At 38.7% G+C, this 27885-nt stretch overlaps 2 protein-coding genes across 12 annotated transcripts in view, besides 2 other annotated features; one reads left to right on the top strand and one right to left on the bottom strand.

Annotated features, from left to right (window-relative positions):
• Window positions 1-5395, top strand: part of DNAJC2 (DnaJ heat shock protein family (Hsp40) member C2) — a 32479-nt gene extending 27084 nt beyond the window's left edge. For all 6 annotated transcript variants that reach the window (NM_001362667.2, NM_001129887.3, NM_014377.3 and 3 more), the window contains 5 exons: window positions 670-854; window positions 1596-1696; window positions 1813-1920; window positions 4583-4737; window positions 5041-5395. In NM_001362667.2, coding sequence (NP_001349596.1) covers window positions 670-854; window positions 1596-1696; window positions 1813-1920; window positions 4583-4737; window positions 5041-5115 — 624 coding nt within the window. In that variant the 3' untranslated portion in view covers window positions 5116-5395. The remainder of the gene's footprint in view (window positions 1-669; window positions 855-1595; window positions 1697-1812; window positions 1921-4582; window positions 4738-5040) is intronic.
• Window positions 1-20249, bottom strand: part of PMPCB (peptidase, mitochondrial processing subunit beta) — a 50108-nt gene extending 29859 nt beyond the window's left edge. For 3 of the 6 annotated variants that reach the window (XM_047421050.1, XM_005250717.4, XM_006716181.5), the window contains exons 1-12: window positions 20126-20249; window positions 18976-19116; window positions 18155-18241; window positions 17377-17506; window positions 13644-13842; window positions 13194-13273; window positions 9976-10088; window positions 8589-8732; window positions 7209-7369; window positions 5956-6041; window positions 5788-5876; window positions 5553-5628 (exon numbers count right to left, since the gene is read on the bottom strand). In XM_047421050.1, the coding sequence (XP_047277006.1) occupies window positions 5553-5628; window positions 5788-5876; window positions 5956-6041; window positions 7209-7369; window positions 8589-8732; window positions 9976-10088; window positions 13194-13273; window positions 13644-13842; window positions 17377-17506; window positions 18155-18241; window positions 18976-19116; window positions 20126-20224 (1405 nt within the window). In that variant the 5' untranslated portion in view covers window positions 20225-20249. Of the gene's footprint in view, window positions 1-2997; window positions 5629-5787; window positions 5877-5955; window positions 6042-7208; window positions 7370-8588; window positions 8733-9975; window positions 10089-13193; window positions 13274-13643; window positions 13843-17376; window positions 17507-18154; window positions 18242-18975; window positions 19117-20125 lie in introns of those variants that run through there. The other 3 variants (NM_004279.3, NM_001438231.1, XM_047421052.1) reach the window with 3 other exon arrangements.
• Window positions 19995-20294: an enhancer, noted in NCBI's record as "active region_26441". NCBI's record gives its function as "activates an Ori minimal core promoter by ATAC-STARR-seq in GM12878 lymphoblastoid cells {active_cell/tissue: GM12878}" and the evidence as "EXISTENCE:reporter gene assay evidence [ECO:0000049][PMID:35858748]".
• Window positions 20395-20454: an enhancer, noted in NCBI's record as "active region_26440". NCBI's record gives its function as "activates an Ori minimal core promoter by ATAC-STARR-seq in GM12878 lymphoblastoid cells {active_cell/tissue: GM12878}" and the evidence as "EXISTENCE:reporter gene assay evidence [ECO:0000049][PMID:35858748]".

The following is a 27885-nucleotide window of genomic DNA, read 5'->3' as shown; positions in this document are numbered from 1 at the left end:
GTGAGACTCTGCCTCAAAAGTAAGAAAGAAAGAAAAAGAACCTGCACTATGAATGTGATGATGGGAATCAAAAAAATTTTTCAAGGTTAGCATTATTGGGACTTTACTGGTTCTAAGGGATTGAAGGGGAGAAATGAGCCAAAGCTGACTCTTAAGATAGCAGCTGACAGAAGCAACAAGGGCAAATAAAGGTTCTTTTTTTACTTGTGCATGTTTGAAGGTAGTCTAGAAGGAACAATGTAAATGGTAGAGCTTCAAAATAAAAGAGGCCATTTTGCTATGCCTTCACCTTTTGGTAGAGAATAAATGAGATTGTCTGCAGAAAGGGTGAATATGAGTTTGAAGAGAGGTTTGAAATGGCCTTGTGGATGAATAACTCAGTGACCCACAGACTTGTCAATTAGTGTCCAAGGCTAATGGAAGTCACATGACATGAGTACTGGGAAAATCAGGCAGGCTGTGGGCAGTTCTTGGTCCCTCAGGCAGACCTATGCAGACTGGAAGCCAGAGTGAAAAGCTGGTGCTTCTTTTTGGGTTGGCCTGAGAGGAGTATGGGGTCAGAGTGAGAATGACATTGAGAGTTGAGGACCACAAAGCCCTAGCCAGGAAGAGAGTGTAGAATAGCAATACAGTATACTTCTAAGTCCCTGACTTATGATATTTGTGCAGATAGAAGAAATAAATGAGCAAATCAGAAAAGAGAAAGAGGAAGCTGAGGCTCGTATGCGACAAGCATCTAAGAACACAGAGAAATCAACTGGTGGAGGTGGAAATGGAAGTAAAAATTGGTCAGAAGATGATCTACAATTACTAATTAAAGCTGTGAATCTGTTCCCTGCTGGAACAAATTCAAGGTACTGGTTTTAATGAAACTTTTCTTCAACTCACACTGGAGCCTGGAGATAATGTAGACAGACTCCAAATAGCAGCACTTGTTATCACAGAAACTTGCAGAGATAAATTCTGTGCCACAGCAGAAAAGTGTGAAAAGTGAGGTGCATTTTGAAGCTGTCAGTCTTACCCATTGCATCAGTACACATGCACATATACATATGACAGAATACTTGTTTCTCAGGAAATTGAAGATCATGAGACAAGTCTTGATTTATGTTGGCTTACTCTGTCATGGCTTGTTCTAGGGATTAGGTTTTCTGTAGTTTTTCTTTTACAGTCTTGCTCTTTGTTTTTTCCCACCTCAAGCTGGAGCTTGAGTTTAACTGCAAGAAAGCCCTAGAGATCCAGCGTCCCTAATTCTATAGATGAAACCGAGGCTGTTTTCAGAATGATTGATCTTCTGAAGAAATGTATTAAACTGGCAGTATACACAAATAAGTGGTTTTATTTATGTTGATTTGTACACCAAATCTGTAAGATGTATGGACTTAAAACCAAGATTATCGTTGATTTAAACACATGAAAAGCAAAAACCGTAGTCCAGGCAACAGGAATTTATAGTAGCAGCATAATTAGACCACCAATCTGAGCTCATTCTGTACATACTATAACCTTTCTGCAGTAAAAATCTAATGGTTTTTGTCGTTTCATTTTGTTTTTCCTTACTACTATTCATATTATTGTATAATATATCCTATCAGATGGGAAGTTATTGCTAATTACATGAACATACATTCTTCCTCTGGAGTCAAAAGAACTGCCAAAGATGTTATTGGCAAAGCAAAGAGTCTCCAAAAACTTGGTGAGTTTTGAGAAGTCCATTTGTTACTTTAAACACCTATTTTTAAAATAACTTATGCAATTTAATGAAAGATTAAATGATGATCTGTTAAGTATTAAATTTTTTTCATTTCTCAGACCCTCATCAAAAAGATGACATAAATAAAAAGGCATTTGATAAGTTCAAAAAAGAACATGGAGTGGTACCTCAAGCAGACAACGCAACGCCTTCAGAACGATTTGAAGGTAAATTTTGCTTTTCTAAACGTAGAAAATGCTAGCCATGTATCTGTGCTGCTTGGACGTACAAGACTTAGGGTCTATGTTCAGAATGATAGGGAAATAAAATGTTTAGCAGACTGGAAGCTGTAAGCAAACATTTCCAGGGCAAAGATTTACTTCACCTAACCATTAAAAATGGAGAATTGCAGTTGTTCCATTTCAGATGCCATTAGAGAAGGGGGCTGTTTGTTTTGCTTACCAGGTTTTACAAAACAGTGTTAGAGGATATTATTGGGACTAAAGAATAGTGTTATATCGGGATAATTGCTTGATTTTGAGAAATGTACTGTAATTATATAAGAAAATGTCCTTATGTTTAAGGAAAAACACAGAAGTGTTAAGGAATAAAGAGGCATCATGTCTGTAACTTATGGTTCAAAGTATGTCTGTACATATAGGTAAAAATAATTAGCAAATATGAAAATGTTCACATTTGGGGAATGTAGGCAGAGTATACAGGGATTCTTTCTACTCCTCTAAAATTATTTCAAAATAAAATGTTAAAAATTGTTAGGGTTCAAAACCAGGAAACATAGTAAGACTCAAAAAAAAAAAAAATGTTAGGGTTTGATATTATCTTGGGTGTTGTGATTACTCTAGACCAATGCTTTTCATGTTACAAATCATGACCCATCACTGGGTCATGAAGTCAATTTAGTGTGTTGAATAGAAAATGAGTGTTACACCCATTATATGGGTGGGTATACTTGTGAAACTCTTGATCACGTGTGTCTTTGTTTAGGATGTGATATAAATTTTTTTCTTGCTATGACAAGGTTTGAAAGCAGTTTATGTGGAAAAAGTTCTTTCACTTCATGTTTTGTGAGCCACCAATCCTTTCTTAAACTAATCGCAGAAAGATGCTTTTGGATTAATAGACTTGACTATACATAAGCTGTTTCTTTCTTCTAAGAGTCCCAGTTTTACCTATATTCTTTAATCTTGCTTATTATCCCAAAATTTCAACTTAAAGATATGAGACTTACAGTGTTAATATAGGGGAGGAAAATCATTGCAAAAATCAGCAGTGACTTGTTTGGCTGAGTTAGGCATTATTTCGGTTCTTTTAATAAAGGTAAGTAACAAGGCAGGGTTTCAGAACACCTGAAAGACACTTCTTTATAAAGGAGTTTATTCTCCTGCACCTTTATCTCCACAAAATACAACAGGTATTAGCACACTAGTCTCAGCTCTTTCTTAGGGGGACTTGTTTCCATGTTGGAGGGAGGTGGGCCCTGATATTTGTCCAGTCTGCTTTCTGTGAGGAGAGGTGACCCTGTGAAGGCAAGAGTGACTGGCAGTAGTGCTATGTGGGTATGACTCCTTTGCCTCTTTTATGGAAATGGGAAGGCTCCTTCCTCTTCAGTTGTACCATTAAACAGCAAGCTGGCACCATTTTTTGAATAGTGATTTCTCATAGGAGTTTTGCAACAGTACGTTTAATTTATTTTGGTATTGTGAAGTAACTGGAGAACAGCAGGAAATACTGCCATGTCACTTCCATCTTTTTTCCAAGAGAGGAAATAAAATCTATGGTATTTAGGGCTTTAAACCAATACAAGGAAATTCAACAAAAGACTTCCTAGAACTTAAAAGCTACCTTCAAAAAAGCTTCTTAGGCACCTTAGGTACCATCAAATATTATACAAATTCTCTGCTTTGTTTTGAATAGGTGGTGGTTTTGTTTTGTTTTGTTTTGTTTTTCCTTCTTTAATTGGGAAGGAACTTTGGTTTCTAGGCTTAACTTTTAACAGATCTCACAGGCCGCAGTTTCTAGTAGTAGTCAGGCTACTGGTAGTATTAGTCTGTGTTGTCACTGCATAGTCTGAAATAACTAAATTGCCAGAAGTCCATTAACTTAACCAAATCAGCTTTCTACCACTTAACATTCTACTTTTACCTACACAAGTGGACTGTGTAATACTTAACATCCTTAAGAAACATATTTGTTTCTGACACACATCTTAGATGTTTTCTGAAATATACAAGGTTTAGTTGAAGAACCACAATAGCAGTTATTGGAAGTGTTCAGCATCGGCTCCCAAGATTTTAGCAGATGTGACGAAGAGAACACCACACTACAACACAATCTAATCTCAGCTTGCCTCTCCAGCACTGGTACCTTGGGCACTTGGCTTAATTTTGCTAGGTTTGTTTCCTTCAGTGTAAAACAAGAATGATTTCCAGGGTTTCTATCCAGCAAAAGTTTAACTGTGAGGAAGCTCTTTTACCTATTCTGTAAGGAAGTAGATTTATCAGAACTCTTAATGAATTGTGGTTGTGTTTTTGAGTCCAAGAGTCCAACAGTACTATAAATTTAAATATGGCTTTTTACCAGTCTGGTGAGTGTATTACATTGATTTTTAAGAGATAAACAGTACAAGGTAGATCTTTACTATTGTGTTTTAAAAGCCTTTGAGATTTTATTTTCTGGGATGTGAGCTATCTGAAATTTTTTCTCTTATTAACACTCAGAGGGCTATATGTATCTCTCATCTCTACAAGTTTATTTTCAAAATGACACATCCCAGATTGAAATGGGCACTTAGCGAATACTTGTGGACCACAAGACTTGTCTGAGAACATGTTCAAAGACAGTTTTCAAATAAAAATTTTTCTTAATCAGGTCCATATACAGACTTCACCCCTTGGACAACAGAAGAACAGAAGCTTTTGGAACAAGCTTTGAAAACATACCCAGTAAATACACCTGAAAGATGGGAAAAAATAGCAGAAGCGGTGCCTGGCAGGACAAAGAAGGACTGCATGAAACGATACAAGGTTGCAGACTTAAGCGTTTATAGATTGTTGTATTTTAAATTGTAGCTTGGGTGATATAGCTCATATTTTATGTCTATTAAGTGGTTAATAATATAGTGCTTATTTCAAAACCAGTAGTTATGGGGTCAATATTATGAGGAAGAAATGAGCAACCTTAGAAACTTTCTAGGCCCTGGCAGATAATGAAATCAGTATATTTAGTACTATCTATCTTAGTTGCTTGAATTCTTTACACCAAACACTAGATTAAAATGTCTGTTTTTAAATCGCAACTTCTTAAATCACACCTTTCTCCCTTCCTAGGAACTTGTCGAGATGGTAAAAGCAAAGAAAGCTGCTCAAGAACAAGTGCTGAATGCAAGTAGAGCCAAGAAATGACAATCTTTGTTGTGTGTGCATTTTTATAATAAAACTGAAAATACTGTAAACATTTTCATTCTTAAAATTATACTCATGGTAATAATTTGAAAGTATGCTGCTTCCAACATAATTTCTCAGAGAACAAAGACTGACCATTAATACAAAACAACCTTCAGAGGGGTAGTCTTTTTATCCTTTGAAAGTATGATACAGTATTTAATTCAAATTTCCAAATGTATATACATGTTCATTTTTATTTTTCTCTAGCTCTGTTTTATAAATACATGTGTTCAAACAATCTTGATTAGGAGCATTTTAATCACGAAGCCAACACATGTTACTGCGTATCTGTTTAAAATCTGGTAGTTGCTTAATGGGACCTAAGGATTAAAAAGAAGAGTTAATTAAAAGTACTTGGCCAACTTTTTGCATAGAAGAAAAGAAGCCAGGCTTACCAACAGCAGCAATAGCTGGACTCCTATTATAAATGTATTTGGTACATACTTCTCGAATTGTCTCAGCATTCACAGCCTGAAATATGGAAGACACTGTCATTCAGCTGTTTGTAGTAAAAACAAAGTCTATACCTGGAACTTTTTAAAACTAAAGCAAGATGAAAGATACATATTCTCAGCTTTTGTAACAAGGATCTTTTTACACATGACCCAATAGTAACTCAGGACTACTTACATCAATTCTTGCTTCAAGCTCAGGGATGGGAATCCTTCTATTATAGCATAACATTTGCCTACCAATATCTTCACAAATTGGAGTTGAACCTGTTTAAAGAGAAGGAAAAATTAACTATTGGAATACAGATCAACCATATGAAAACAGAACCTATATCTTTATTTTTACCATCAAGCTGCAACAACATGTTTGTTTTCAGAAGATTTCTGGCTCGTGCAACCTCACTTTCTGTGACACTTGTACAGAGTCGCATCCTAAAAAACGTGGAAAAACAGTAGTAGTTGGAAAATGTTGTATTTCATGAGTTAATGACCTAAGAATGATGATGCCATCTTCTACACAAAACATACAGGTGATTACAATTTAATTCCAATGCTAAGCAAAAGCTAAAATGATTATTTTCCCCAGTATTAATTTCTCAAAAATGATACATAAACATGCCTAATTACACATTAGCAGACAAAGGCTTTATACAAATGGGCTGATCACATTTTCAGAAATGCTATAAGCATCTTGAGACTTCATGAGTCCTCATCTGTTGGAGTCTGATATGCTATGGGTTAAGTCAGTGGGTCATTCATTGGTTTCTGAAAACAATGAGTAGAGTCTAACTTAAATCTAATTTTTAACAATAATTACATCCTAGTTGACTAGATTTAGAAAGATGTAAACCAATTAAGAATAGTGGAGGAAAGGAACCAGAGCTAAATGTTTTCCAAGAAGCTGCGAGCCTTTCTGCCCATCTATCGACTCAATATACTTTGTTTTCTTTTAGCAGTGGCAACTTCAGATTTACTTTCCCTTCAACCAGATTACTTTCAGAGATATTTTCCAAACAACTTCTAGTTGGCTTTTAAACTTTTAGGATCATCTTTCTGAATTAACCTGCTTCTGAAAGATTAAAACTTTCAGCCAGGTGTGGTGGCTCACGCCTGTAATCCCAGCACTTTGGGAGGCTGAGAAGGGTGGATCTCCTGAGGTCAGGAGTTCAGGACTAGCCTGGTCAACATGGTGAAACCCCATCTCTACTAAAAAATACAAAAAATTAGCCAGGCATCGTGGGCATGGTGGTGCGCCTGTAATCCCAGCTATTCGGGAGGCTGAGGTGGGAGAATGGCTTGAACCTGGGAGGCGGAGGCTGCAGTGAGCCGAGATGGCACAACTACACTCCAGCCTGGGCAACAGAGCAAGACCTCATCTCAAAAAAAAAAAAAAAAAAAAATTCTATAGTATAAATCAGCTTCACATCTTGAGACTTAGGAAAAACCAACTGCAACCTTTGAAAACATGGCAACTACTGTTTATCTAGGTCTCTTAATTAAAAGGTAAAATTACCATAAATCACCATAAAGTATAAATAAAAAACTAGTTTAAAACGAATTAAAGGCAAAATTTAAATTACTTAAAGCTATTTTTCTCACCATTCTTTTTGAACAACATGTAGCATGTCTGCAACAGTGGATGATTCACAAACCATATACAGTCCCCATAATCCTGTATCTGTGTAGGAAGTGTTGAAAGACTGAAAGCTATGGCAAAGATTGCCATGACAAGTGAGCTGGGCCAGCTTGCTAGATAAATTCTGCAAGGAAAAAAAAATTCCAAGAGAATTTTAATTATACATGTCCAAAATACAGAAAGAAAAATGGAGTGTGTGGAAAATAGTGAATATCCTTAGAGGCTGTTTCCTAGTTTTATTCAACATCTCAGTAGTAGAGTTAAAATTCAGTATGACTAAGAATTGTGTTTATTATCTCACTTACCCAGTGCACCCCCTGGAGAAATTCATGTTATAAAAGCAATGAGTCCTTATAATTAATGTAGTAGCTATACCTACTTCTAAAACTAGATGGCTATTATCAACCCAATTTCTAGGACTCTTGGCTACATACGCTTAAAGATTCAAAGTTATATTGCATATGAAGCTTAAGATTATTTAGATGAAATGTATTTTGGAGAAATCTATGAGTAAAGACAAATCTATACAATGTGTTTTGAAATAATTCCAACTTACAAAAAAGTTGCAAAAACAGTACAGAGAATTTCATTTATCTAGATTCCCTGTTATTTTACCATGTTTGCTTTATTCTCTTTATACAAGTTTTTTCAACTGAGTTTTAGATGTGATGCTTCTTGCCCCAAATACTTTAGTATGTACTTGTGAAAAACAAGGAAATTAATGTTCTTACATCACCTTGGTATAGTTCCTCAGTATCTGTGGAGAATTGGTTCCCAGATCCCTGTGGATACCAAAATCCACAGATGCTAGAGCCCTCATGTAATATGGTATATGTAATATTTGCATATAAGCACATTCTCCTGTATACTTTAAATCATCTCTAGATAAATACCCAATCCATGTAAATGCTATGTAAATAGTTGTTATACTATATTGTTTAGGAAGTGACCAAAAAAAAAGTCCATACATGTTTAGTACAGATGCAACCATCCATTTGTTCCCCAAAATTTTCCACCTATGGTTGGTTGAATCCACGGATATGGAACCCACAGATATAGAGGGCCTACTGACTATTAAAATTAGGATATTAACATTGACATAGTACTTCTAGCTAATTCTGTCCTTATTCAAATTTTGCCACTAATAAACTTTGTGGCAAAGAAAAAAAGAAACTTTTTCTGGCCCACATGCAATCCAGGATCAGTTTATATTTTTAAGTCAGAATTCACAGTACAAGACTCTATTCTGCCACTTTAAAAAAGGATTCTTACAAAGAACTTATATTTAAGAAAACATGATAATCTTCCATCTGTTATGGAAAATTTCTTTTAAAATCACTTACCATTCCTCCCCCAAAAGAGCGATCCCAGTTGCCAATCAGCGTGTTTGCAACCATGAGACAGATTGTATCTGGATGTGCCCAACCAACAGCTTCAACAGCTATTGCAAGGTGCGCCAAAGGCATCTTGTCATCCCTCACACGAATCTAGTTAAGATAAAGCAGGAGGACCTCTAGTTAAGATTAACATTATATAACATGCTTATTAACAAGGAAAAAATCACCAGTCCCATTAACTGCAAAGTTAAAATGCACACCAGGACTCTATTTTGATTTTTTAACTATCAGGCCTCATTACATTGTTGAGTTTAATCTAGAAGAATTAAGACTAAATTAGGGAAAAATTACTTTTCCCAAAGCATTTTACTACAGACAGGCACCACATGGTTTACCTGGTCAAAAGGGTTGCATCATTTCACTGGTAGAAATCAATCCTTTGTGTTTGTCAATCTGAATTTGTCTTTTTCTTTCTTTTTTTTTGAGACAGAGTCTCACTCTGTCGCCCAGCCTGGAGTGCAGTGGCACCATCTCGGCTCACCGCAACCTCGGCCTCCCATGTTCAAGCAATTTTGCCTCAGCCTCCCGAGTAGCTGGGACTACAGGCATGCACCACCACGCCCAGCTAATTTTTGTATTTTTAGTAGAGACGGAGTTTCACCATGTTGGTGAGGCTGGTCTCAAACTCCTAACCTCAAGTGACACACTCGCCTCAGCCTCTCCAAGTGCTGGGATTACAGGCGTAAGCCACCGCACCCGGCCTCAATCTGAACTTTTCTATTGAAATGTCATATTGACGTTACAGGTTTATTTTTGTACTGCCAATGCTACAGTTCTAGGCAGCTGCCAATATCAGGGCATTTTCCAGATACTACTTTGAGCATCATCCTCAACATGGCAAACTAAGCAGCTAGTGGGGCTTAAAGCTAGTTGATAACTAGTAGATCCCCTGCAAGTTCTGGCTCTAACAGTTACTACCCCCTCCCAAAACATACTGTGGGCAAAACTGAGCCAAGAGTAAACCTGAAGTGAAAGTCAAAATACGGGGTTTAAAAGATTACTTCCAGATATTACAATATGTAAATTGGCATAGTGCCAAAGAAAAAGCACAAAAAGACCAAATTATAAACTGCTCTTAAAAACTTTGCTTCCTTTCAGACTAGAATGGAGAAATTTAAAAACAAAACAAAAAAAACCTTGCTTCCTTAGGAAGAAAAATAGGTGGTTAAAGAATACGGAAGAGGAAGGAATGTAAGCAAATGAGTACATCCTCTTCCCTTTTCCTATTATTCCATTCTTTTCCTACTGGAAATATGCACATTTTGTTTACTTATGTGTAAATACAACACAAGGAATCCAAAAGGCTAAATACTAGCTGGAAGGCTTGCCCTACCTCACTTCCTGTGAATTTGCAGGGAGGCAGAGCTGGTATTTCTCCTTTGTGTGTGCATAAAGAGTCACCGAAATGAAACTTTGCTAAGTCAAGCAATTCATCATGGGAAACACCTAAATTGAAAGAAAATATTTTCACATGTATCTAGCAGCAATATAGTTTACAATAAACCCTAGGTGGTATAATGTGATGTACATTACACATGAACTATCTACACTCACTAAAAGCCATTATTTAAGAGTAAGCTCACATAGCACACCTATTTCCTTGGTGTTGCAAAGCTTGAGGTTGCACAGCTTTCTCATTTTGTAGAGCAAATGACAGTTTTCATCAACAGACCAATGGATTCACAGCTAAGAATAAGACAACTTGAAAACTCCACGTTTTACAAAATCATTTTCTATTAAATTATAAAAACCTCTGGGATCCAAACTAGCAAAAAATGCCAATTTTCAAAAAAAAAATTTTTTAGTGGAAAATACAAATATGGGCTCTATCTAATTTTTAAAAAGCTGGAGCTGGGCATGGTGGCTCACGCCTATAATCCCAGTTCTTTAGGAGGCTGAGGTGGGAGGATCATTTGAGTTCAGGAGTTCAAGACCAGCCTGGACAACATAGCAAGACTCTGTCTCAATAAAATAAATTTTAAAAGCCGGGTGCCATGGCTCACACCTGTAATCCCGGCACTTTGGGAAGTCAAGGTGGGCAGGTCACTTGAGATCAGGAGTTCAAGACCAGCCTGGCCAATATGGTAAAACCCTGTCTCTACTAAAAATACAAAAATTAGCTGGGCATGGTAGCAGGCGCCTGTAATAATCCCAGCTATTCAGGAGGCTGAGGCAGGAGAACTGCTTGAATCTAGGAGGTGGAGTTTGCAGTGAGCTGAGATCACACCACTGCACTCCAACTTGGGTGACAGAGCAAGACTCTGTCTCTAAAATAAATAAAATTAAATAAATAAAAGAAAGCTGGATACACAGATAAACTTTATTCTCCATGCTCTGCTATCAGAACTCAGGAACAGGGCCTGGTGTGGTGGCTCACGCCTGTAATCCCAACACTTTCGGAGGCTGAGGCAGGCGGATCACCTGAGGTCAGAGGTAGAGGTAGACCAGCCTGATCAACATGGAGAAACCCCATCCCTACTAAAAATACAAAATTAGTCAGGTGTGATGGCAAATGCCTGTAATCCCAGCTACTCGGGAGGCTAAGGCAAGACAATCAGTTGAATCCGGAAGGCGGAGTTTGCGGTGAGCCAAGATGATGCCATTGTACTCCAGCCTGGGCAATAAGAGCAAAACTCCATCTCAAAAAAAAAAAAAAAAAGAACTCAGGAACAAAATAGTGTCATCTAAATTTCTGAATACATCAATAGGTATCCAAATGCAAAAACTCAGGAATTACTTAGACTCTATATCCCTTACTTGAGACCCAAATTAAGATTCTTTAACTTAATTTACAATTAAAATGTTAAATTATAATTTTATAATAAATGAAGCTAGGATACAAAAAACTATTTGGCAAATAAAAGCTATACATCCTGATGATTAGCCTAGAAGAGATAAATGGTAGCCAAGACATAATTCAGAGGTCAGCAGAAACTTAAAACTGGCCTATTTCATTGAATTTAAGATGCAATCATTTATAAGGCACATCACTTATGTAGTATTTAAAATGAATACTAATTAATCTATAAGCCATTAAACTAAAGATATCTCAATTTTAGCTATGTCAAAATGAACCCATGAACCAAAGTAAAACTCATTTTGTCCACATGCCACCAACAATGGCAGAGAGGTCCCAGAAAGCTTGGTTGTTGAGGACCCATCTAACAAGTCTCTTGTCCCATTTCCAAGGCAGTTTCAAACACTTAAGCCCAAGTCTGCAAGAGCCAATTTAGAAACAATGTTACTCAAGAGAATTTCAGAGTGCACTTCCTGCCATGTACAATGAAGGTAGCTACAATGAATAACATGTTTGATATTTAATGTTTTCATCTTCTCCATTACCCGCCAGGTACTTAGCTCAGAAATCAATCCAGAGCAACTAGAATTTTTAAATTATGATCTCTAAAAAGAGAAAAATTTACAACACGAAAGAACACTTCGCTTTGCTCTAATATTAAAAAATACAAAGAAATGAAAACTGGAGACCAGGTGCGGTGGGTCACGCCTGTAATCCCCAAGTTTTGGGAGGTCAAGGTGGAAGGATAACTTGAGCTCAGGAGATTGAAACCAGCCTGGGCAACATAGTTAAGAATCCATCTCTATTTCTATAAATGTATTTTAAAAAGAAAAAAATAAAAAACTGGAAACCAATTAAAATGTACTGCTGTCTAGATTCAGACTGCCAGGAAATCTGGCAATATCTGTTGTCAATTTTTTTTTTCATTCACTGGCTTCAAACATGACCTCAAGGAAACCTTCTGAAGTCACCTGCATGTTTGGATTCCCATTCAACATTCTTATGGCTCCCTATGTGCTTCTCCTTCCCAAAAATTAGATCTATTAAATGAATGATTGAACAAATCAAAGAATGAACATACCCGTTCCATGCTTGAACAAGGACGAAGTTGGTTCTCAAGAAATAATTTAAAATCTCAAAAAATTCTCAAAGTACAGAACACCATCTTCCGACTCTCTCCCAGTTCACTCCTTTGCCCTTTTCTTGCACGTTCTACTATGTACGCTTATGTATTGAACAGTTCATTAAGTCTTTCTATAAATAAAACCTACTTTTCTTTTTTTTTTTTGAGACAGTCTCACTCTGTCGCCCACGCTGGAGTGCAGTGGTGCAATCTTGGCTCACTGTAACCTCCGCCTCCTGGGTTCAAGCAATTCTCCTACCTCAGCCTCCCGAGTAGCTGGGACTACAGGCGCATGTCACCACGCCCAGCTACTTTGTATTTTTAGTAGACATGGGGTTTCACCATATTAGTCAGGCTGGTCTTGAACTCCTGACCTCGTGATCCGCCCACCTCGGCCTCCCAAAGTGCTGGGATTACAGGTGTGAGTCACCATGCCTGGCCTAAATGAAACCTACTTTAAAAAAAATAGAGGGAAATTCTGATTCCAGTGCTCCACATTCCCCTTACACACTATCAGTTATTTGCTATGTAAATGAAAATTCTTAGGGTATCTCCCAACAGGATCAAACTAATAAGCATACCACTCCAACAACTGTGTTTAAAACATTTGTAGAAATTTAAATTGACTAACCTCCAGCAGCAGCAAGCACTATTCTTGGCCCCTTATAATGTGTGGTTATATAATCCACTAAGTCCTTACGACTTATAGATCTGTAAATGAAGTAAAACAATTTTTAAAGGAAACCAAAAAAAAAACAGATCTTCACATAATATACCTGAAATCAAATTGGACCATAACTGTATCCTAAAATGCAGTCAGAAATAGGATACAGGCAACACATCAAAGAACTTCACCTTTTTTACATCAAAGAAAAAATACACCATTACTGGTTTATTCCCGAAGTACCTATGAACTCACGTGCTTGGGAGCTAGGTGGGACTAAAATGTAGCTAACTACAGTTTCACTTAGATTACCAGGGGGAAAATTACTTTCTGAAACATACTTTTTGAAAATTTGTAAATGTTTATTTTCAACATTCATAAATTCCCTTATACACCAAGAAATTCTGTTATACCTACTTGATATTTTCAGTTGGTCCCAAAATTGTCCGTCCAAGTGCAGTATTTTGATAAGCTGTGGCATGAAGATAATCAAAAACAACTTCTTGTAAATTGGTTTCAACTTCCTGCATCTCTCTAAGGATTACTCCACGCTCACGTTCAATCTCTGCTTCTCCCAATGTGCTGTTTTGTATTATATCAGCAAGAATTTCTACAGCTAATTGAAAATAAAATATAAGAAAACGTGCCAGCAATCTTAACTTTCACTATTAAAATCTATTAAACCAAAATCAGAAATCATGACACTGACCCATCACTCAATACTAAATGATTAGCCTAGGAGAAAAACATCAGATATACTTAACAGGACAAAATTAAAATTTAACATATAAACCCCTATAGTACAAAAGATTTTTTCCTTGGGGAAAAAGTATAAATTTGCCATCACCTTGTAATGACTCTACCTACTTAAAAAATGCTATGGAAATTTGCATATTAATATAGATTGTTCTATATGAAAATTACAAAGTTATATATATTAGTCTGAAAATACCTAGCTAGCAATGTACAGAGGGTTTGTATCACCCAAGTATTTACTATGCAAGTTCCCACAGCAATGACAGTGCTATGTTAAGAAGCAAAGAACTGGTCAGGCACCGTGGCTCACACCTATATAATCCCAGCACTTTGGGAGGCTAATATGGGCTTCAGCCCAGGAGTTCCAGACCAACCTGGGGAACATGCCAAAATCCTGTCTCTACAAAAAATACAAAAATTAGCTTCGTGTGGTGGCATGTGCCCGTAGTCCCTGCTACTCGGGAGGCTGAGATGGGAGGATGGGTGGAGCTCGGGAGGCAAAGATTGCAGTGAGCTGCGATTGCACCACTGCACTCTCGCCTGGGCAACAGAGAAAAGAATCCTTACAATCTAAAATATGCCCCAAATGAATCACAGAATTGTGTGTTCTCAAACCCTAATTTGCAAAAAGCCAAAAGTGAAGTGGAACATGTTATATTAGGCCATTAAGCAATTTTATCAGAAAAAGCGCATACCTCTCCAAAAAAAAAACTGTGCTTCATTCTTGAAGAATTAGTACATAGTTGCAATCATAAATCTAAATTTCATTAATACGATTAATGTTATAAAATAAACTTACAATCTTAAGTTTCTTTTTTTTCCCCTAAGAGACAAGGTCTCATTATGCTGCCCAGACTGGACTCAAAATTCCTGGGCTCAAACAATCCTCCTGCCTCAGCTTCCTCCAAGTAGCCAAGACTAAAGGCATGTACTACCGTGTCTGGTTTAGGTTTCATTTTTTACTCTACTACAAACTGTTGTTGCTTGTTTTAATTAAGTTCACTTTAAGGGGCACTGTCTCAGAACTGATTATGTTCAAATACTAAGAACATGACAGAACAAACTATTATAGTAAGCTGTGGCTGAGATCATGACCAAAAGGAAAAAATTATCTGTAAAACCAAATAAAACCCATCTGTCCAGATAAGAGAACAGAGTCCAGTAAAATGGGTGAGAAAGAGCCCATAGACAAATGGAAGGACAAGAATTCCTGTGTGAAAATCCTCCTTTATGTGGGATTGGTGGTCTACCCTGGTAGTTTCCAAAGGCAGGGAGGGGGGCTCCTATTTCCCAGTCTGTTTTAATCTGAATCTTTTTTTTAAATGTGTATTTAATATATGTTAGTATAGTAGCACATGTATTTAACTTACAAGTATACATACATTAAGGATATATGATCAACTTTCTTACCAATAAGAGTAAGTGATCATCATGCACACGTATGTTTACTGCAGCACTATTCACAATAGCAAAGACTTGGAACCAACCCAAATGTCCATCAATGATAGACTGGATTAAGAAAATGTGGCACATATACACCATGGAATACTATGCATCCATAAAAAAGGATGAGTTCATGTCCTTTGTAGGGACATGGATGAAGCTGGAAACCATCATTCTGAGCAAACTATCACAAGGACAAAAAACCAAACACCGCATGTTCTCACTTATAGGTGGGAATTGAACAATGAGAACACTTGGACACGAGGTGGGAACATCACACACCGGAGCCTGTCGTGGGGTGGTGGGAGCAGGGAGGGATAGCGTTAGGAGATATACCTAATGTAAATGACGAGTTAACGGGTGCAGCACACCAACACGGCACATGAATACATATGTAACAAACCTGCACGTTGTACACATGTACCCTAGAACTTAAAGTATAATAATAAAAAATAAAAATTAAAAAAAAAGAATAAGTGATCATAAAAACCTGGAGACCATTAGTCTAAACATCTAATTATTACTTCATATACCAGGCTTCACACCCAGGGTGAAGGGTGAAAAACCCCAAGTAAATCCCCAAAGTTGGAGCTGCTTCAGAGAGCACTTCCATTTTGCATTCCTCAGGGAAAGCCCCTGTTTTTCCACTCCCACTAGCAGAAGCTCTGTCGTTCCCAGCTAGATGCCAGGAGAAAAGGGGGAAAAAAGTCGTTTAATTTCATCCTTCCTTTTTCTGTTTCTCCTTTTTGCCTTCCCTGTTGTTCTGTGTAAATAAAGGAAGGAACTAGGCTGGAATGAACAACTCTTTAAAGAACCTTGGCCTAGCCATATGTTCTTGGTCCCTAATTAGTCCTGGGACAAAAACTGTCTCTATTGGTTTTGTTATTCAAACCAACATACCCTCCATCGTTGCTGTCATTTTTGTTTTAATGCAAAAGTTAGGGTATCATATTAAGTATTTTAGTTATTTACAAGTGATAGGTTTCTTATTTTATTGTTTTGACAAAGCAAATGAATCTGGTAAGAAGACACGCACTTGAGTCCACAGTAAGCCACCTGATAGCTATGCAATCCTGGGCAAGTCAGAGTCTGAGCTTCAATTTCCACAACTGCAAGGTGGAAACACCTATGCACATCAAATGGATAATATATACACAAAAGTACTTGTGTTAAGTGCCATTTAAACATTATTAATGAAAGTCTATTAGGAATCCAAAATTGCAAAGTAGTAACTACAACTACAGAAGGACCTTAAAGGTTAAAAATTTCACTAATGGCCGTGCACAGTGGCTCACGCCTATAATCCCAGCACTTTGGGAGGCCGAGGCAGGTGGGTCACTTGAGGTCAGGAGTTTAAGTCCAGCCTGGCCAACATGGTAGAACCCATCTCTACTAAAAATATAAAAACTAGCCAGCTATGGTGGCAGGAGCCTATAATCCCAGCTACTCAGGAGGCTGAGGCAGGAGAATCACTTGAACCCAGGAGGCAGAGGTTGCAGCGAGCCGAGATCACACCACTGCACTCCAGCCTAGGTGACAGAGCGAGACTATCTCTCTAAACAAAAATAATGAGTTTACCAATTAGCTCTAAAACTGCTAAATTTTGTTGTTAATTCTTCCACTGGGAAATGTTTTGTGTAATAACTTTTAAGAGAGTCAAAACAGTCTACAAACATGGTAACTAACAAACTGCTGTCCTGACAAAATATTTTATTCCCACCAAATAATCTCTATTTTATTGCTACATATTAAGAAAAACCATCATCCATAATTTACTATTTGTCATATTTAGAAAAAAAATAAGATCAGCTGTACCCTCACCCAGAATTCAGTTTCGCTTTTTCACATTTCTGGAACTTACTCTTTTACAACAGACATAATAAAAATAGTACTAAATAATTCCTGATTCTCATGAAAATTACATTATCTGCTGTATAAATAATAACAGTACCTCTTGGCAAGTCTTTAGAGAATGCTTTGGCATAGTATACAGTCTGCTCTCTGGAGGTATAGGCATTGAGATGAGCACCCATATTTTCAATCTCAAGTTCCAGATCTAACTGGGATCTCTTCTTGGTGCCCTTGAAATAAAAGAGGAAAAACAAATTATGCAAACTCCCTTTATACTTCATCTATTCTACTTCAGATAATGAATATGGAGGACATAAGTTAGTTTCATGCAGGGTCAAATTTGGTTTCTAAAGTACATCAGGTATGGTACGATGGCTCACACCTGTAACCCCAGCACTTTGAGAAGCTGAGGCAGGCAGATTGAGCCCAAGAGATCGAGGCCAACATGGCAAAACCCTATCTCTATGAAAAAACAAACAAACATATATATATATATAGATACTCCCAGCTACTCCAGAAGTAAATGTGGGAGGATGGCTTGAGCCTAGGAGGCGGAGGTTGCAGTAAGCAGATTGCGTCACCGCACTCCAGCCTAGGCAACAGAGCCAGATCCTATCTCAAAAAAAATTAAATAAAAAAAAATAAGGTACATCAGGCTTCAGAAATGGTATACGTTCAGATAACTCCTGCATCCCAAGAGAAAGTTTTCATTTCAGCTTTACAAAGCAATTATCACTACTTATTTTAGATACTGTCCTGGAAAAATAAACATAAAACATGTTATACTACTGAAAGAGCTCTCCCTGCCTCTAAAGAATGAGACTTTGTGCTTATTATCTCTTAAAGAGAGTGCATTTTTGTAAAGTCTTACAACTTGCCTTGAAAGCCATATGCTCCAGAAAGTGTGCTGTTCCATTGTTCTTCTCATTTTCGTATCTACTTCCAGCATCAATCCAGAGTCCAACCTTAATGCAATCAAAGAACAATTAAATAAATTCATTTTATTTATTTGAGGTTGGGGGGAACAGTCTCCTTCCTTTTTCTGACAAATGCTTTCTGGTCTTAACACTAAGATTTTCTTGACCTGAGTGAATTGATAGTTCATTCCTGTGAACTATGAGATTTAAAAATTTCGATCAGGATACTGCTGGGTGCTACAAGTATCTACCTGCCACCTTCAATGAGGATTCTTTGCCCAACTCATTAATCCAGCCAATTAATAACTGTAGTATCAAGAACATCAGAGACTGTCAGAAAACTTCGGTTGAAATCCTGGCTCTGTCATGTATTAGCTGAGTTACCTGAACAAAACCATTTAACTTCTCTCACTTCCTTAACTATAAAACAGGTGTGAGGATGCCCACTACAAACAATTGCTTTTTATCAAATAAGACATCAGTAAAAACACTTGGCAGAGTAGCCCTGCAAACATATTTCTTTCATTATTATCAATACTACTGAAAATAAATAATCAATAATAAGCTACAAGAACAAGATGCAGACAATGCAACAGGATACATATGCACCCTGTAACTAAGTACCACTGGAAGAAAAGGTTCACAACTCATGGAAATCTGTCAAGGCAAAATAACTGTCACCCTTTTTGAACCACCAGCCAACGAAAAAGCTAAAGATTAAAATCAACAATTTGCTACGCTAAATGAAGGGTCACTTAGAGAAGGTTGCCTGAGTCACTTACTGTGCATGTTGAGAGCCCAGAGTCTTCCGAAGCTACTCTGAGTCCACTTTCTAAACATGTTACTCTTGTTTCAGGAACATTCAGAACAACTTGGGTAGCAGCCTGTGTACTTCTTAATCTGTTCTCTCCAAAATATAATGACTGGTTGGGGGTAGGAAGTGGAAGAGACAAAGCAAAACACATTACTAATCTGATATTAAATGTTGCTTTTAAAACCAAATCTATTTTAAATAGGCTGTCTCTATAAAAGAATCTTTCTTCTTGAATTTTGGTTCCACTGAGATCTCTGCCTGGCCTAGAAACATCTGTCACCAGCCACTGTCCTAAAGCCAGCAACGTGTTTATAAACATGCCCTTCCCTCAGGGAAGATGAGCAATTATTATCATTACCCAGAGAGAAATTGACTTTATTTCACTACCTCTCCTAGAAATGTTTTATATTCATTATGGAGAAAACAAGCAGGAAAAAAAAAAAGAGAGGGAAACTATGTAAAACTACCTACACACAAGACAAAACTGACACTCGGGTTTTCATTGTTCAAGAAAAGCAACAGGGTTTGGAAATGGTTAAAAAAAAAAAGAGAGAGAGGATAGGAAGATGGGTCGATGTTCAAAATGCAAATGACTGGCTTTTCGGCCAGAAACTATTCGCCTTTCAGCAGTTTTTCTTTGCCCTTATACAAAAGTCTCACATCCCTTTGCTTAAAGTCAGAGGCTCTCTCATGAGAAAAATGCAAATACATAAAAAATTTTACTTCATTGATGTCCAGGTTCGCGGGAAGCCCAGCTGAGGACGAAGTTCAGTCTTAGGCAAAAATAGAACTCTGGAGCGGTACCCATTTCACTTTTTAGTTTTCCCCAATTTGCAAGCACTACGTTTTTAGTGGTCAAACATGCACTCCTCAGTAGCTGGCGGGAGGAGCCGAAAACCAGGGTCATCCCACACGTCACTAGCAGGTCTCCTGGCGGGTGGCCACAAGCCAGTCACCCCCGGCCAGTTCAGCAGCCCCAGGCCGCCTGGCGCCCGGCGGGTCCGGGTCGAGGAGGCCCTGCCCGACCCACTGTTCGGATCTGTGGCGCCGACTCTCAGGTGCGCTGCGCCGGGTCTGGCGAGATCTCGAGGACAGGACCGGCCTGGAGGGAAGCTCACCCGTCCCGCAGCGCCTCGGATTAGAAGACTCTCGCTGAAACCCCAGAGCCGCCGCCGCGCCGCGGATGACAACACCACTCGAGCCGCCGCAGCCGCCATTTCTGCTAGAAGGAAGGTAGAGGATGAAGGATGTGCTTCCGGGGTCGCGACCTGAGGTCCCAGAGCAGGGAGGTGGGCTCCACCTTGTGGCCGTGATGGGAATGACACTCCTCGAAGCGGTTGTGAAAGCAATCAGGGCCCGACCATGATGCTGAGCGGTCTTTACCAAATGAATTGGGGAGTCTGCAGAAGCCCCTTTATCATCAGTTATTTTATCGATCGCCTACTAAGTGCAAGGCACAAATGCGGTGGAATGAAAGGTAACCTGATGCAATATATCTCACTGGTGGATGGAATTGATTGAAAACAGTGGAATAATATTCATAAGTCACTGCCTTTAAAGGAAAAGTCTAGTGGGAGAGACAGATGCCGTGAGGGGAGGAAACGATGTATCCGTGTTGACCACTATCCACTCTTCGAACCTCTACAATATGGCTCATCTCATTCCATAGAAATTGCCCTTGGTAAGGTCACTAATTGCTAAAAGTTGGACACTTTACAGACTTATGTTACAGTCCTGTTGGAGGATTTGACATTGTTGGCTTCTTTGAAATTCTCTTTTCTCAATATATTCTAGAGCTCCACCTCCTCATAGTTCCCTCTGCACCTTCTTGGACTCCTCTTTATTCACAGATCTGTTTTTTGTTTTTGTTTTTGTTTTTGAGATGGAGTTTCACTCTTGTTGCCCAGGCTGGAGTGCAGTGGTGCAATCTCAGCTCACTGCAACCTCTGCCTCCTGGGTTCAAGCAATTCTCCTGCCTCAGCCTCCCAGGTAGCTGGGATTACAGGCATGTGCCACCACGCCTGGCTACTTTGTATTTTTAGTAGAGATGGGGTTTCACCATATTGGTCAGGCTGGTTTTGAACTCCTAACCTCAGGTAATCCACCCACCTCCACCTCCCAAAGTGCTAGGATTACAGGCGTGAGCCACTGCGCCCAGCCCACAGATCTCTCAAGGAACTAAAAATTGCAAATGCTTTTCTAACTCAGGTAGATGGTATAGTGCTTATTTTGCAATTAAGACACTGAAGTCAAATAACTTGCCCCAGGTTACCCTGCTAGTAATAGGTTAACGCCAAAGACTGTGCTGTGAAACACTACATTTTGCCCTAAAAGTTGGTGTTTGCCAGGACTCTAAGCCTCTTCTACTGAACATTCTCCCTCTGGGTTTTTCCCTCCACTTCAAGACCTGTCTGCCCAACCCAGGCCTTTCTCTTGAGCTCCAGCCCACTTAACCATCAACTACTAGGAAACTACACTTGAATACCCCATTGGAAACTCAATATCAACTTGTCCAAAAGGGAATTCACTGTGTCCCCTGAATCTCTTCCCATATTTGCAATGCCAAACAGCCAATCATACCTACATTTGCCCAAAACTCCAAACCACCCAGAAGCTCCTCTCTTTTTCCATCTTCCACATTCAATTGATACACCCCTTTCCTGCCTCTTCAATCTACTCCAGGCCCATTGTCAGTTTTTTCACATTACTACCTATAGGATCTTTTACAAATGAAACTGTTACGGCAGTCCCATTATGAAGAATCCATCAGGGAGCCCTTGGTCACAATAAAGTAAAGGGTCCTTAGCATGGCAGGTGGGGCCCTTCATGATCTGACTCCCATTTATCTTTCCAGACTCATCTCCCTCCACCTACCCGGCTGCTATGCTTCGCAGGTTCAGTCCACAAGACTCATGATGTAATGTAATAAAGGACGACCAAGGTTATTCTCTCATGTTTCTAAAACAAATGTGTGTTAACCAAAAATAAATACAAACATGCATACATATATACAAAAACATGTAGGTATAATCACAGGAAGCACCTAGGAAGTTTTAGCAAGAATTTGTATTCAATTCTAATATACTTCATGGTATTAATTTATTAGTCATTATTTACAGTCAATATCTTAGAACATAAAGCCTACAGAAATTAAGTGCACCAGAGTAGAGCCAAGAAATCAAAGAATTTGACTACTCCCAAAATAGCCCTACACCCACAACAGTATCCATAACTTTTTTTCTTTTTTTTTTTTTTGAGACGGAGTTTCTCTCTTGTTGCCCAGGCTGGAGTGCAATGGTGCAATCTCAGCTCACTGCAACCTCCGCCTCCGGGGTTCTAGCAATTCCCTTGCCTCAGCCTCCCAAGTAGCTGGGATTACAGGTGCCCACCACCACACCCGGCTACTTCTTGTACTTTTAGTAGAAACGGGGTTTCACCAGTTTGGCCAGGCTGGTCTTGAACTCCTGACCTCAAGTGATCCTCCCGCCTCAGCCTCCCAAAGTGCTGGGATTACAGGCGTGAGCCACTGCACCTGGCCTATTTTAAATGATTTCTTCACTGACTGGATTTTACTGGCAGAGTCATTGCTATTTTTGTTGTTTGGAAATTTTAATCATGGATGTCATATTCCTTTAATTCTTTCATGTTTGAGGATGTCTGCTTTTATCTTTATACTTGAATGACATTTTTGTCTGGATTTAATATTGTTGGGTCACAGTTTCATTTTCTCAGAATTTTATAAACATTACTCCATTATGCTCTTGAGTTAAATGTTTTGGAGAAGTCTGAGGCTAGCCAGATTTTTTCTTTTTTTACCACCCTTAAATGTGACCTGTTTTATCTGCCTAAAAACCTAAAAAATTATTCTTGAAGTTCAGTAACTTAACTAGGCTATATCTTAATGTTGAGTAATTTTTGTGTTGTGATTTTTATCAAAATTTTCAAAAACATAATATGTTTTCATTCTGCAGTTTCACTTCTTCCTTCATTTTAGAGAAAGTCTCTTTGAATACATATTCTGGCATTCCATTCAGTATGTTATCTTTTCAAGGACTGCAGCTCTCCTTATGCTGAATGACTTTATCTGTCCTTCATATTTATTAGCATCTCTCTAACTTTTTAAAGCTTTGTCATTTTCCTCTACTTTTTTTGTGATTATCTCAAGACACAAGTAGGCCTACGCAAACATGCCCTACTAATTTTTAGCAAACGTGCAGAGGCAATTCAATAGATGAAGAATAGCATTTCAACAAATGCTGCTGGAACAATTAGATGTTCATATCCACGGCTCCCCGCTCCCCAACTCCCAATGAACCTAAACCTCACACTTTATACAAAAATTAACTCAAAATAAATCATGGATGCAAATATGTGACATAAAACTATAAAACTTTTAGAAAAACACGTAGGATAAAATATTTGGGATATAGGAATAGACAAGGAGTTTTTAGACCTGATATCAAAAATATAATGCTTAAAACAAGATTAAAGCCAGGCGCGGTGGCTCACGCCTGTAATCCCAACACTTTGGGAGGCCAAGACAGGCAGATCACCTGAGATCAAGAGATCGAGACCATCCTGGCCAACATGGTGAAACCCCTTCTCTACTAAAAATACAAAAATTAGCTGGGCATGGTGGCACGCACCTGTAGTCCCAGGTATTGAGAGGCTGAGGCAAAAGAATCGCTTGAACCTGAGAGGCAGAGGTTGCAGTTAGCTGAGATCGTGCCACTGCACTCCAACCTGGTGACAGAGGAAAACTCCATCTCAAAACAAACAAACAAACAAAAAAAACAAGATTAAAAGCTTTTGCTCTAAAAAAGATGCTGTTAAGAGGATGAAAAGACAAGCTACAGACTGGGAGAAAATATTTGCAAACCACATATTCAGCAAAGGACCTGTGTCTGAATTATGCAAAAAAACCCTCTCAAAAACAGTGAAAAAAAATGGGCAAAAGACATGAACAGACATTTCACTGAAGGAGAAATACAGATGGCAGATAAGCACATGAAAAGATGTCCAATATCATCAATCATTACAAAATGCAAATTAAAATGATGAGCTATCGCTACACATGTAGCAGAATGGCTCAAGTGAAAAACAGCAATAACACCACATGCTGGCAAGGATATAGAAAAACAAGATCACTCATACATTACTAGTGGGAATATAAAACTCCAGAGTAGTACAGCCACTTATTATACAACCCAGTAATTGAACTCCTGGGCATTTATCCCAGAAAGATGAAAACTGAAGTTTACACAAAAACATCTACACATATATTCATAGCAGCTTTACTCATGATAGCCAATAATTGGAAATAATGCAAATGTCCTTCAACAGGTGAATGGTTAAACACACTGTGGTACATTCGTACCACGGAATACTACTCAGCTCTCAAAAGGAATGAACTACTGATAAATGCAACAACTTGAATGGGCCTCAAGGGAATTATGACAATACCAAAAGGTTATATGCTATATGATTCCATTTATATAACATTCCTGAAATGACAGAATTATAGAGATGGAGAATAGACTCGTGATTCCCCAAGGGTTGGACTGGGGAGGGGAGAAGCGCAGGGACAAGAGGGAGATGAGTATGGCTATGAAAGCGTGGCATGAGAGGTTCTTGAAGCAATGGGACCATTCTCTATTTCAACTGTGCTGCTAGTTACACGAATGTACACATGTAAAATTGCATAGCATTAAATACACACAAATGAACGCACATAAAACTGGTAAAATATGAATCAGTTCAGTGTATCGTATCGACGTCAATTTCCTGGTTGTGATATTGTTTCTATTCATGCAAGATGTTATTGTTGGGGCAAACTGGATGAAAAGTATATGGGATCTCTCTGTATTATTTCTTACAGCTACAGGTGGACCTACAATTATCTCAAAATAAAAAGTTTAATTAAAAAAAATGAGGTTACATTTCCAAAACCTTTTTCTTTTTATGGGAAGGGGACAGTGGGAGAAGAATACTGCTTTCTATCTGTTGACAATTATGTATTATAGTCATGCATTCAAGTACACACACACACATCACCAGAGCTCTTACACAAATTGAAATAGGAAGAGAATCTCAGAATTGTTCATCTGGCCATAATTAATAGCATAATAAAGGAAACTGAAGATGAATTGGAGCAAAAAAATCTTTGCATGTTTCATAAAGCGTTTCTGATCCAGCCTTATCTACAATGGTTGCTGGTGATGAGGGAGTGATTAGTGTGCTATGAGATGTGTAATGTGACAGTTTGAGTAGCTCCCTGTGTCTGGCTGTGGTGCTGGCAGCCTTTGTACATAGTCTGGTGTCATTGAAGTGCTTCGGCTTTATTCCTTTTTGTCTCCTGCCTCTTGATGGAGGTTACACTGAGTAGGAAGCAGTCCCTGAGTTGAATGTATAATCACCACGGGAACTAAGGCTACAGTTAATCCCTGGGAATGTGGCCCATGGCCCCCATATGCCTTTTGTCAAAATCCTTCTTGTGCACTGTTTTCTCCTTTTTCTTTTCTTTTCTTTTTTTTCTTTTTCTTTTTTTTTTTTTTTAAGATGGGGTCTCTCTCTGTTACCCAGGCTGGAGTGCAGTGGCATGATCACAGTTCACTGCAACCTCTGCCTCCTGGGTTCAAGCTATCCTCCCACTTCAGTAGCTGGGATTGCAGGTGTGCACCACCACGCCTGGTTGATTTTTTGTATTTTTTGTAGAAACAGGGTTTTGCCATATTGCGCAGGCTGGTCTCAAACTTCTGGACTCAACCGATCCACACGCCTCGGCCTCCCAAAGTGCTGGGATTACAGGTGTGAGACACTGCACCCAACCTTCTTGTGCACTTTTTAATGTTCTGAATGTTTCTGAGTTTGAGTGAGTGTATATGTCCCTCCCCATGTGTGTATATGCTTTATTGGTTAGCTGATTTGTCCTTGAGGACAGAAGCAGAAGAAAATATGGGCACTTTATGCAAACAATTTCACATCCTTCAAGCTTCTGCTTTGTGCCTATTAGAAACCAACTATTATATAATCAAGGATTTCTTTAAAACTCCCACTTATCCCCATGCAAGCCACTATATCTCTTCTATAGGAAACTAAGCCCAGCCTGTATGATACTAGTGAAACCTGATTTTTTATCTTCATCAACTTCATTTCCCCATGGTCATTGATGATCCCAAATTGTGAAGCTCTTTCTGTGCTCACTGGTCTTTCTGGGATGGTTGAATCATGAATTGTTTCCTCATTTTGTTCTCCAGAATTCCTCTATTTGGTGCTCCTTGATTGACCCTGGATTGACGTGTACTGAGAGTTTCTGCCCCAACTTCCATTCATTCTACAAACCTTCCTGGAGATTCTGTATATCTGTTGTGGAGACCAGCAGGGCCTTCTAGACAAATGTCTTGCTCTAGATGTCTCCAGGGGTACCTTTAGCAAGAGGCTTGGTAAGGTGGAAGCGGGGGAAAGGGAACAGAGCCCAGATTCTAATTTCATGAGGGAAAGCTTTAGTAAAGATCTCAACACAAATTTTCAAGAATACCAAATCGCTTGGGTCCCAAAATGCTATTATTGAGATGAGTATAAAATTCTTACAGAAGTCAACCGAACCTATTTTCAACATCCGCTCAGTTGTCTGGTATCTGAAAACATAATAGGAGATTCAGAAAATGCAGGGATGGTGATTCTCCAATTAAGTAACCTAGAGCATTGCTTTAGTATTGACTTCCAGGGAGAAAAGGTAGTCTACTCAGTTCTATTTTCTATCTGCCTGGATCACCTACATGCATCCTCCCCTTTTCACTCCTGGCTGATTTCACTAGTTTTGGGTGGAGAGCTCTTATCTTGCAGTAGAAATTTAATGGTAAAAGTATTTTTTTTAATTCCCATCAAATCTATAGGGTGGCATGAAACTCTTCTATTATTGATCTCTTTTTAGTTTTAGTTTGTGATAGGCAGAATTCTAAGATGTCCCCCAATAATCGAAGCCCCTTTATAATCCCCTCCCTATGGAATCTTATTCCTATGATTAGGTTACATTATACAGCAAAGGTGAAGGGATTTTTCAAATGTCAAGAAAGCTCCTAATCAATTGACTTTAAGTTAATCACCTAGGAGGTTATCCTGGGTGGACTTTACCTAATCAGTTGAACCCTTTGTTAGAAGATCTAGAGGTAAGAGATTCTCCCTGCTGGCCTTAAAGAAGCAAGCCACCAGGAGTTCTACAGCTGCCAGGAAATGAATTCTTCCAACAGCTTTGTGAACTTTGAAGAGGACCCCAAACCTTAGATAAGACCCCAGCCCTGGCTGATGCATTGATTGCAGCTTTGTGAGACCCTGAGCAAAGGACCCATTCTCGGACTCTTGACCCATGAAAACTGTGAAATACCATAAGCCACTAGGCTCATGTTAACTTATAATGCAGCAATATAGACAAATACCCTATTTAATCTCCAAAAGTGTCTGGGTGCAGTGGCTCATGCCTGTAATCCCAGCACTTTGGGAACCTGAGGGGGGCAGATCCCTTAAGGCCAAGAGTTCAAGACCAGCCTGGTCAACATGGTGAAACTCCACCTCTACTAAAAATAGTAAAATATTAGCTGGATGTGGTGGCAAGCATCCGTAATCTCAGCCACTCGGGAGGCTGAAGCATGAGAATCACTTGAACTCAGGAGGCAGAAGTTGCAGTGAGCTGAGATCGCGCCACTGCATTCCAGCCTGGTCAACACTGCGAGACTCTGTCTCAAAAAAAAAAAAACCTCCAGAAATGTGGCAGTCTGTTGCAGAGTGGCTGTTTTGTTACCTTGCTTTTATTGCCAGTCTCTTTCAATATGTCCTACCAACTAGACAAGGATAGACAGAAAAGAAAAAAAAAAAATACCAC

The sequence above is a fragment of the Homo sapiens genome, chromosome 7, assembly GCF_000001405.40.
Source record: "Homo sapiens chromosome 7, GRCh38.p14 Primary Assembly".
NCBI classification, from domain to species: domain Eukaryota; kingdom Metazoa; phylum Chordata; class Mammalia; order Primates; family Hominidae; genus Homo; species Homo sapiens.
The sequence above is the reverse complement of the archived record's forward strand: the minus strand, read 5'-3'. Positions and strand labels throughout refer to the sequence as shown.